Source organism: Homo sapiens, chromosome 17, assembly GCF_000001405.40.
Source record: "Homo sapiens chromosome 17, GRCh38.p14 Primary Assembly".
NCBI classification, from domain to species: domain Eukaryota; kingdom Metazoa; phylum Chordata; class Mammalia; order Primates; family Hominidae; genus Homo; species Homo sapiens.
In genome coordinates, this window is record NC_000017.11 from 48341273 (window position 1) to 48353399 (window position 12127).

At 35.2% G+C, this 12127-nt stretch overlaps 1 protein-coding gene across 10 annotated transcripts in view; it reads right to left on the reverse strand.

Annotated features, from left to right (window-relative positions):
- Nucleotides 1–12127, reverse strand: part of SKAP1 (src kinase associated phosphoprotein 1) — a 311620-nt gene that overhangs the window by 207831 nt on the left and 91662 nt on the right. For 9 of the 10 annotated variants that reach the window (XM_005257755.5, NM_001075099.2, NM_003726.4 and 6 more), the window contains one exon: nucleotides 4633–4734. In XM_005257755.5, coding sequence (XP_005257812.1) covers nucleotides 4633–4734 — 102 coding nt within the window. Of the gene's footprint in view, nucleotides 1–4632; nucleotides 4735–12127 lie in introns of those variants that run through there. The other variant, XM_047436980.1, reaches the window with a different exon arrangement.

Consider the following 12127-nt stretch of genomic DNA (forward strand, 5'->3'; position numbering starts at 1 on the left):
TGGCTACAATAATTTAATCAGTAAATTAAACCTTCATTTTAATTTCAGAATACTAAAACAGTTTTGTTTAAAATAGATTCATATCTAATGCTTTCTCCCCACTATTATAAAAATAAAACCCACAATGATCAACAAAATCTAGTCTATTATTATTCATAATCTTAAATGCAAAATTGACTTGTATTTCAGAACTAAAATGAAAACAGAGAAATGTCTTAAAAGTGCTAAAAATAGCACTGTAAAAAAAGGGTTCTTTTTATTTCCAGAATATTCTCTATATTTTTAAATGTTCTTTTCAGAAATGGCATGGAGTTGAAAATAGCTACTATTGGTACTTTAACATGTTTGCAGTTCCTTTTAAATCAACAAGTATGTAATAAAATCAATCAACAACAGTCTCTTCAGTTATTCATTACTACTCTTTTCCAGTGATAGTTACAGGTCTTTCCTTTTCCAGTTGTTTCTCATTTTGCTGAAGAATAAGAATCTTCTCTAACCTTCAACATCCTGATGCACAAAGAAGCTCTAAAATATTCTCACTTCTATCCAGATTTAATTGTTCAATATCCATTCACCCATTCTTTAATTAGAACGTAAACATATATAACAAATAAATACATTATCATAGATTTTAGGTTTCTTCTAAAATAATTTTATTTTTTCTTTTTCTTCCAGAAGGAGTCACTATATCCTGCTTACAGAATGATCACTTTCCCCAATCCACTTTAAAAAATAATGTAGGTATGCAGGGATTCTTCATTATACTAACAAAGTAAGTTTATAAATACATTAAAATCCACTGTATATTTGGACGCTGAAAACAATCAGATCTTGAGCTTTGTAGTTGCCTGGCTCTTGTACTAAGTATTGTGGTCAGTGTTTCCTACTACATTTTTTTCCTTCCATATGGTAAAAACTATGCTTTTAGTTCAGAAATCTAAATGTTATTACTTGTTAGCAAGTTTTTGTTCCCGATGGTGGGGCTGTGCTCTTGTGGGTGTCTCTCTCTGCCTTCAAATTGTGGGCATTTACAAAGGAAAAGGAGAAGGAATTGTAATTAGGTAGCAACAGGCTCTCATTTTTATGCATGGGTTAGCCTGTAACCTTGGTTTTCATTTTTTGCTGTGTACCTGGCCAGGTTTCTATATTCTTCTAGCACTCTTTGTAGTTTTCACAAAGTCATGACCTAAACACAATATGCAGCATGCTTCTATATTCTTCTAGCACTCTTTGTAGTTTTCACAAAGTCATGACCTAAACACAATATGCAGCATGGTTACTGCCCCTCATCACTAAAATTATGGGTGGATGGGCCCGACTGTGTATCCTTTTATAATGGCAAGTCTAGGATACTACTCTAGCTGACAGTGGAAGACAAAATATCTGAAATATTTTCACATTTTCTAATGAAGACAAAATTCGAGAAGCCTAAAATAACTGTCATTACAAAGAATGTTAAAGAGGAATATCTGGGAGGCCAAGGCGGGTGGATCACGAAGTCAGGAGATCGAGACCATCCTGGCTAACACGGTGAAACCCCGTCTCTACTAAAAATACAAAAAATTAGCCAGGCGCGGTGGCCGGCGCCTATAGTCCCAGCTACTTGGGAGGCTGAGGCAGGAGAATGGCGTGAACCCAGGAGGCAGAGTTTGCAGTGAGCCGAGATCCCACCACTGCACTCTAGCCTGGGTGACAGAGCGAAACTCTGTCTCAAAAAAAATAATAATAAAAAATAAAGAGGAATATTTTTTCTTCATAAATAATTGACTTAGCTATCTATAAAGACACTAACTTTATATTTTTTTATTTGTCTACTTATTAATAGTTTTCCCAGTGAGATGGTAAGCTCCATGAGGGCAGGGACTGTATCTGCTTTCTCACTGCATTTTTCACCTGCAGCTTAACACAGTGTCTTGGTGTTAACTAGGAATCTTTAAACAAACATTTGTTTAAAAAAATGAATAAGTAGCATATCAAGTGTTACCATTCTCTATAATGGTAAAAACTAATTAAATAGGATATAGAGATTGCTAAAAATTTTGACACCTTTATAACTTTCTCTTTAATTTCACAGGAAATGTATGTATCTTTAATTTTCAGGGGATGAAAATGAACATTTATTGTGCCTGTTATGTATTAGGCACTCAGGCACTGTGCTAGATTCAATGCTTTGCAGAAACTCACATTTAAACAGTATCACATCATCTTACAATCAAGTTTTTAACATAGAAATAGGTCTATTCCTACCTCTACCATTGACTATGTCACTTTGGGAATTCTTTAATTTCATGCATAGAACTAAAAACAAAAATTTATTAAGTAAGAATTTAATATTACTAATATAATTAACTCCTCTTATGAGTTTTGCACTTTGGAGTTTTCCAGATTTACCTCTTTCAACACAAATGTTTTTCCTAAATTTCAACTATTTTAATGAAAATATTTTTAAGCATAGTATTTTTATCTGTATGGTCTTAGCCAAAATGTTTGGAGTATGAATCTGCCAAAATGTTTGGAGTATGAATCTATTTTTTTGGATATCTCAGATAAGGATAGTGGTAAGGATAGTAGAGTGGTTAAGAGCAGAGGTTTTAGAACCAGACTATGTATGTGTAAATCCTGGCACTACTACGTACCAGCTGTGTGATTTTAGATAAGTTAACTTCCCTGAGTCTGTTTCCTTGTCTGTAAAATAAGGGTAAACCTAATATCCACATTTTAGGGCAGTCTTGAGGATCAAATGATGACATATGCAGAGTGCTTACCATACAGATGATGCAAGGCAAATAGTAAGTGCTCAATAAACAATAAATGCTGGCTAAAGAAGTTTTAATTTATTAAGGTACTGAGCACTTAGGTGAGCATGCACTCTTTTTCTCTATCATAGAAAATGACCCCAAACTGCTATTTAAAAAAAATTATTCTTAGATAAATTTTATTTATAGATTTTGTTTTCTATATAAAGTTTTGTTCTTGTTTCTTACCTTAATCTTATTGTTAATTGATGCCTTTATAGTACCCCTTCTTCTAATTTGAAGCTCTACTGTGGGCTGAGAAACCAAAACACTGTATTGGTTAGAAACTTGTAAGAAGATTCCTCAGCAAAGGGCCTTAGGGGTTCTTCCAAGAGCAAGGTACATAAGTCACATCTATTTCCACTTAGAGGCCTTTCTGGATTACTTATTGTGTTCTCAGTTGTGTTTGGGAAAGTTGGAAATACCAAATAAGTGACCTAAGGATTAATGAGGCATTATTGTTCTAATTCTGTCAAGCATTAGAATAATCAAAAACAAATGAAAAGTTGATTTCTTCCTGTTTTGCACTGTTAATTTTCTACAATTATTAATCAGCTACCAATGTAATTATTAAACTTTCAATCCAAACAATGTTTTTAGTGTAATACCTGAATCAATACACAGATCCTATATTACAAACCCCATTTTAAAACTTGGGTATTACTAATTGTGCTATTATACAAAATAAAATGTTTCTGTGTGATTCAACCCCCAGTTCTTATGTGGAGGTTATCAAGTCAGTGAAAGGGAAAAAAAACATGAATTGTCAAAAGGGCTAAATGAAATAACAATCAATGGATAAAGTAAAAAGAGAGAGTAAAACAGAAATTATAAGCTCTTGAAATCTAAATAAAAAGAAATGGAAAGATTGCAGACTAACAAAGAAAAGTAAGGAATAATTTACCAACTTTATTCCCAATCCCTAAGCGAATAATGTGTTTCCAATTTGATGTTCAATTTAGTAGCACCTCTACCTTTTTAACCCTACTGGGAAGGCATGAGAGAGACTCTGATAAGAAAACCATGCGCATCCATGATGATGAAACCTTCTGCTCAGGTGGCCACATGACAGAAGAGGCACAGCGGATCCCCACACTTGGGAAATCTAGGCCTGAGCCAGAAACTGGCAGCCATCAGGCCAAAATATTTATATTTTATGTCTTATCTTAAAAATTCATGTATATTTTGCATTTCATTATGTTATATACTGTGGAATTTTGAATATAAAAATAATGTTTCTAACAATTGAATTATTTAACTCCTCTCATTCCCAAATATTCAAGTAAAATTGATGCTCTAGGAAGATTCACACTGTGGTTCTTGTGGCTTTCCCTTCCCCTTGAGCAATACCAATATGGTCAGGGGTATGTGAGAAGTACAGGTGAAATGGTATCTTATTATATACTATGATGAGCTCAAGGGTCTCAAATGATCCACAGAAAATTAATAATCCAACAATCATTAAATAAAAGCTTCAATTCTCATGTAAATCAGTGAAGCTAAAAAATCCAAAAGAATGGTATAAACTAGGCCCTGAAATCTTAAAATGCCCTCTTAGCTATTGAGCTACGGTTTTTATAAAAAGATCAATAATGATGTCTTCCTGTTCCAATATGGAATTAGTGTCTCCCTAAGTACATTAACTTCAGAAGTATTGAATTACCAAGGAGGATCAGCACCACAATGAAACAAATAGTTGTTCTTTGCAAACTAGTGATTACCAGTACAGAAAACCCACCAAAGGCTGCTAGATACAAAAATGACAAAAGGCAAAGATGTCAGGCCAGAAGATAATGAAGTATGGTAGTCACCCAAAATCCAGAAGGATAACACTCACCCTCATCCTGATAATCTGACAAAAAGGGTGCATCGGATGTGAGGGACAGGCCAAGAGTCCCGCTGTGATTATCATCAGAGCTGTCCTGTCCAATGTCTCCCCCTGAGGGACAAAAAAGACAGAAAATAAGGTTAATCTTTGGGCATCCTTATAAAAGGATACATCCTTATAAAAGGATCTATGTATGATCTCTTCCAGTATTCGAAAAAAAAGTGTATCTTTTACTGGATGATGAACATGGCCACTATCCATTAACATATAGGAAACAGTTAAATAGGTTCAAGAACTGACTTACCTGGATGAAAAATTTTCCACTCAAGTAACTCTCTCACTAAAACTTAGGAACTGTTAGCTTATAGTGGGAATACCTCTTGCCACCAGAAAGAAATTTCTCTATCATACTTAAAATAAAAACATAGCTATATAAATTTATATTCAGCCAGGCATGGTGGGTCACGCCTGTAATCCTAGCACTTTGGGAGGCCCAGGCAGGCGGATCACCTGAGGGCAGGAGTTCAAGATCAGCCTGGCCAATATGGTGAAACCCTCTCTCCACTAAAAATACAAAAATTAGCAGGGTGTGGTGGTGGGCGCCTGTAATCCCAGCTACTTGGGAGGCTAGGGCAGGAGAATCGCTTGAACCCGGGGGGTAGAGGTTGCAGTGAGCCAAGATTGCACCATTGCACTCCGGCCTGGGTGACAACAGCGAGACTCCATCTAAAAAAAAAAAGAATTAAATTTATATTCATATATACTATGTCTCCAATAATTACAACCTTTACCCTGCATGCCTCTATTTCAAATGAAATAGGACTGACCCAAAGGTTTAACCTTCTATACATAATATAATATAGCAAGGTCAATAGTCTTTCTCTGAAAAGTAAGAGAAGTATTATAAAAATAGAGAAAACCTAGACTTTGCTGGACTGTATTCCTATTTGTTCTGCAACGTTAACAAAGTTCTTTCTTTGTAATTCTAGTTTACAGCCTAGGCAACCGACCTCTTAGGAATTCTAAAAGCCCTAAGAAGATAATATTTGTCCTGTAAAATGGCTTTGATAAAAGGTAATGTATATACAATACTGAATTATGCAATTAATGCTAATCTCTTTTGTGTGTTTTCAATATACATTGGATTGTATTCTGTAGAAGTGACTGATGTTATTATGATACTTTAAAAGGTTCAGACAGAAGATGTTAGCTCATTCAGAAACCGGAAGAAAAGGCTCTGTATTGCAAATGGCTTTCCTTAAAATCCCCCAAATAGAGGTACAGTCTGCTAATAAAAGGACACTGACAGCTGCTTATTTCATTTCACAAACATGAAAATAGGATTTTCAACTGAATTTAATATTATCTCAAATACTAATTTCCAAAGGAAATCACCAATGCTAATCTCAGTAAATACTGTAGAGTTTTGGCCTTGGATTTCAACTAGGGAGCTGTGAAACCAAACAACCTACATAGAATCTGTATTGCCTCACTTTAAAGGTTTATTTCCTACAATTAAACTAGAAAGCCAGGGAGGTTATAAAATGATAAAAAGAGAATGGCTGTAGCTTTCTCTTTCCATAAATTAGATGATCATATCTAGACTCTTCTTCAAATGCTGTATGGTAGGTAGATGTCCATAACTGAGTTGAACACCTACAAATATAGGACTTTAGAAATAAACTATAAAGTTTATTATGAAAAAGAGAAATAAAAATTGTAGAAAACTCACACAATAGTCATTGGCCAAAGCCAGAAGAAATACTCTCTTTTATTAGTTTACTTATCAGTATACAAAGTTTATAGCTATGCTTAAAGCATCACTGTGTAATTTCCATAGTAACCAGAAAAATTCTCAAATACTGGACTGAGGATTAAAATGCTCAAATTTTACATCACTGGAAGTCCACTAAAATTATATTATCAACACAATCTAAATGGACTGCCTGGCTAGTAACCTGAAAGTGAGCTGCAAGGTTAAATGGAATTTTTATTTTAAGCCAAATAAAAATCCTTAAAAATAAAAAAAGTACTGGAATTGCCAAGCAAAATTTAACTTTTGTAGGATATACTGAACATTATGTATAAACTATTATTCTGGACTTAAAGTTCTCTGCTTGCTTCAAAAATGTGGCAAATCCACCATTAAAGAAAAAGAACCTAGCCAGGCACAGTGGCTCACACCTATAATCCCAGCACTTTGGGAGGCCAAGGCAGGTGGATGGCTTGAGCCTAGGAGTTCAAGACCAGCCTGGGCAACATGACAATACCCCATCTCTACAAAAAGTAGAAAAATTAGCCAGGCATGGTGGCTTGTGCCTGTGGTCCTAGCTACTTGAGAGGCTGAGACATGGGGGGATCGTTTGAGCCAAGGAGGTAAAAGCTGCAGTGAGCCATGACTGTGCCACTGCACTCCAACCTAGACAACAGAGTGAGCCCTGCCTCAAAAAAAAAAAAAAAGAAAAGAAAGAAAAGAAGAAAGAAAAAAAGTACATGCTCACATTCTAAGTGTTTTAAAAAACATGCAGATCAGGAAGGGCTTTTTTTTTTAGTGAACTTTTTATTTTGGAATAATTTTAGATTTATGTAAGTGTTGCAAAGATAGTACAGAGTTCCTACATACCCTTCACCCAGTTTCCCCCAATGTCAACTTCTTACATAATTGAGGTCTATCTGCCAAAACCAATAAATTAACATTGGTATATTGCTATTAACTAAACTACAGACTCTATTTGGATTTCACAAGTTTTCCATTAATGTACTTTTTCTGTTTTGGGATCCAATCCAGGGTATCACATTGCCTTCACAGTCTCAGTTTTTAAAGTCTTACCCAAAACACCTGCCTGGATTTGGCACTTGCTTTCCTAACTTCAGATGGAAAAGTCACTTCCACGTGATTCCTATGGTTTCTGAGTATAGTCACCCAAGGTGTGCTTTCAACAGCCACCCCTGGTGTCAAACATGAGACAGTTCCTCTGTAAAGTACACAACGACATAGATATACAACTCAATGCAGCAAAACAGAGCCTAGGTCAGTAGTACAAATGGTTGTGGTGCGGGAACATTTAGAAATAAGCTTTACACCCAAGTGCAATTAGTTCCTGATGATGGAGATGTTGTTATAAGTGTTTTTAGTGTCATATCAAGTGACCCAGTTCCCTTGGGCACACACAGAAACAAGGCTATAATACCATATAAATATACACTCCCATGTAATTGAAATGATTACAACTACTGAGGATGCATGGGTGAAAAGTTTTATAGAAGAACAGCAATTATTGTGGTCATTTTGGATTTGTTTAAGAACATCATTTTTCTTTAAAACATAACTGTACGTGTTCTCTGGATTTGTCTATAGCTCTGACAATTGCAGTTCTAAATGGCCACAACTGTAGTCCAGTGGGATCAGACATAAATGATCACAAACTATAGTGACAGACATTTCCACTCAGCAGCTCTACAATTAGGGCTTAGAACTCTATCTGCTTAGAGTGGATTTCTCACAAGCAAGACCCCTTGCCACTGGAGACACATTTTCCCACTGCAACTCCCTCAGAATCAATATATTTCTATACAGATATATATTCTAACACATCATATCTCCATTAATCACATCCACTACCTTCAGTCCTTTCTCTTTGTATTTCTAAACAAGATCTAGTGGAACTATATCAAGGGTTCACCTGCTATTAGCAGGTAATTTGCTCCTGTAGCCTAAGTGTCATAAGAATTGGGCGTTAGATACACTCCTTGGTATATTCAATGGCAGGTTCTCCACCCAGTACATGTTGAGGGGCCCATAAGCAGGATGATTTCTCTATTCTTTTCTGAGAGTCAAACTCAATTTCATTCATGCTCCACAGAGTGATAAGTTGTGAATTTCTGAGGGTTGGAGCAGAAAGATAAAGCAGCTTTGTGTCAGGTGTAAGGTAATTATTTCCTAGGGTTTCTGTGCTATTTGTTTTTATTCCCTGTGTTTTCATTAACAGTTAATGAGTTTTCCCCCTTAATTCTGAAACAATAGTCTTGGCCACTAGAAGTTGGCTTTTTCTGCCACAGATTCAACCAGCTGTTGCTGCTCCATAAACTTTATGGAGAAGTGAATTAAACTGCTAAAACTTCATTTACTAATTCAATTCCAAATAAAACAGGGAGAAAAATGAACCATGATGATGTTCCCCTTGTAACTATTTTAGTTCACAGCAAATCCGTTTAGTCCTGAATTTGCAGATACTATTTTGAGACAAAAACAGGCCATAATGACAATTTTACCAGAGAAATGAGAAAGAAATTTAAAAAGACAGAAAATGGTTTAAGCATTAAAAAAAGTGAGAAAATAACAAATAACAGAGAAAACATATATGTTTGCTTATTCAATATGTAAAGTCTCGATTTTTTTTGTTAGTCTACATCATCGTCTTTTATTTCTCTTCAAATTAATTGTGAGCTATATTATAAAGACTCTATTCATATTTGCAACCAACTGTTTATATGGCGTGGTTAAAAACTAAGGTTTGCAGCCGGGCGTGGTGGCTCATGCCTGTAATCCCAGCACTTTGGGAGGCCGAGGCAGGCAGATCACCTGAGTTTCGGGTTTGAGACCAGCCTGACCAACATGGAAAACCCTGTCTCTACTAAAAATACAAAAAAATTAGCCAGGAATGGTGGTGCATGCCTGTAATCCCAGCTACTTGGGAGGCTGAGGCAGGAGAATCGCTTGAACCCGGGAGGCAGAGGTTGCGGTGAGCCGAGATTGTGCCATTGCACTCCGGCCTGGGCAACAAGAGTGAAACTCCATCTCAAAAACAAACAAACAAAAAAGAACAACAACAACAACAACAACAAAACACTAGGGTTTGCTATTACTTCACCAAGTATCTCTGGATTATATAAGGAAATTTAGATTAATTTAAAATTGAAAAATTTTAAATTATTGTTGTTGTTGGAAGGAAACACATGACTTCCTATTCTATTTAATATTTAAGATCCCATAAGAAATACAGCTCCCTCTTTAAACTAATAAATTCTCACTAAAATGCTATAAATAAAGCTCCCTGATCCAAGTCCAGTTAGTTTTCATGCTTGATAGCATTAATATTGCCAGATTTTCATGGGCCAATTTAATAGTAATACAGCTCCCAAAGCTGAACTATAGTAAGGTTAGCAAAACTGCAGCTTATTGGTCCTTATTATAACCATTCAACTAAGTTATTGAATCTAATACCAACTAAAGATATATGTTGGGTACAGATGTGACCATATATGAAATGTTACTCACACATAAGTATATTATAGAGCACATTTGCTGCACCAAAACTAAAATTCTGTCAACACTTCCATTATAAATTACATACCATTTTGCACATATTCATGCATTAGAAAATGTACTGTGTTTTCCAGAGAACATCCTAGAGGCTTCACCAATTTCTAAATATCCATTTGGATCTGTGTGGTTAGTTCTTGTGATTAATCCATGTATAGTGAAGGACTCAAATTCTTCTCTGTTCTATACAGTCGGACTTTCTGCCTATCTCTCTTTTTTTTTTCCTTTACTACACCTATCTATAATTCAATGTATAAATATTCCTTTTTTCCCCCCAAAGCCCTGGCAGTGAGTGTAATGGTACTGAATGTCATTAAGTCTACAGAATAAATGATAGGTCAGGTAAAGAAAGTTTCCATTTATCATTCTTTTAAAAAGTTGCTCCAACTGGATCTCAAATGTACAAGAAGTAAATTGAACCTAAGACTACAGTTTTTAGCTTAGCTTAGTAAAAAACTACAGTTTTTTACTGTTTGCTAATTATGTAATCATGCTAAGAATAACAGCCTTCTTAAGAACCTTTAGAGATAACATTTGAGGAGAGTGGCACAGTCTAAATAATCACAAATGGAGCCAAATTGATTAGACACTCTTAGTATAATCACTATAACAACACCTGTGAATCCAACAACCGAAAGGGCAGCATAGCTTAATGATATTCTCAGAATGAACTATATCTGTCAGTGGTGGATTGGACAGGAAAATGTCAGTGGGAGCTAATTGAAAAGTTCTTTTTTTCTTTTTTTCCCTCAAGAAAATGGTCCTTTGTAATGCAGTTTTTAATTTTGACCAGTAGGGTGAGCTGTAGTGTGTAGCATCATCCTAGTTCTTAAAAAAAGAAAAGAAAAAGAAACAAGAAAAGAGAAAAAAAAAAAAAAAGCAGCCACTGTCTTCTCCTCTCCCACCCTGTAAGAAAATGCTGGGATTTTTAACCCTTCTTAGGTTTCACATAAAGGCATAACTCCTGGATGTTAACAAACTGTAGGGCTGGCAGCAACAAATATAAACCAGATAATTGTATATGTGACAACCCACACTTCATAAAGCAAATTACAGCCTGTCAGCAGTCATTCCAGCTTCACACTAACACATTCCATCTACCACTGGTATTGTTCAACTGGTACTAAAATGGAACCTGCTGAGTGGGAATATTTTCAACAGTAATGAGATTTTGACATAATTCAAAATATATAAACCTAGGTATTTGGTAGTATGTGGATAAATATATTGTAAAATGAATGCACTTATCATATGGCAACCAGGCAATCATAATCTGGAATTATTGGCTCATAGTTCTGTTTTCTTTGGGCCACTGTATTCTCAGTCCTTAATTCTTATTACAAAGCTATCCAACTGAATTTTCAGTATCTTTTGACATATAGGAGAAAGTTAGCTATAATAATAATAATTATATAATAGCTAGCTAAACTCTTACTGGGTACAAGCTCTGGGTCAAGACTTTTTGTGGACTATCTCATTTAATCCTCAAAACAATCCTGAGATGTATTATTATCCCAAAGATGAAGATAAAGAAATTGAGACACAAAGATGAAATAACTTACCCAAAGTCATATAGGTGACTCATAAGTGGCAGGGCCAGGCTTTCACCCCAACTTGTCTGATTACTAAGCTCTTGTTCTAATCCACTGAACTATATAGCCTGAAAATCTGCATGTTTAATAAATCATGATCATTACTCAAAGGCAAGGCATATTGAATGACAGCCAGTGAGTTGACTTTATGGTATATACTATCAATTAGTATTTTAACTTTAATAAAGTAAATCTATAAATTATGATTATTAGTGATAATAGCAGTAGTCACGTTAGGTATGGAGAGTAGAACTGACAGACAAAACAAAATTTGGTCAATGATTTGGTCAAGAAAGAAGTGGTCCAATTCATAGTTGAAATTTATTATCGAGTAATGTAGTAATTTTTTCAAAATATCACTTTTTGGTATGAATTTCATGCTTGCAAAATTTAGAACAGCCACCTCAGGCTTAGTGAAATCAATATACTGATTTTTTTCCAGCACCTTCTGTTTGATTCTGTTGGATACTTAAATATAGCATTGACCTGGCTTGGTTAAAGAATGTGTTTCCTTTCTGGCACCATCATGCTTTAAGTCTCAGAGCAGGAAAAGCCTTTGAAAAATATATAATGCCACATAAATGTAGCA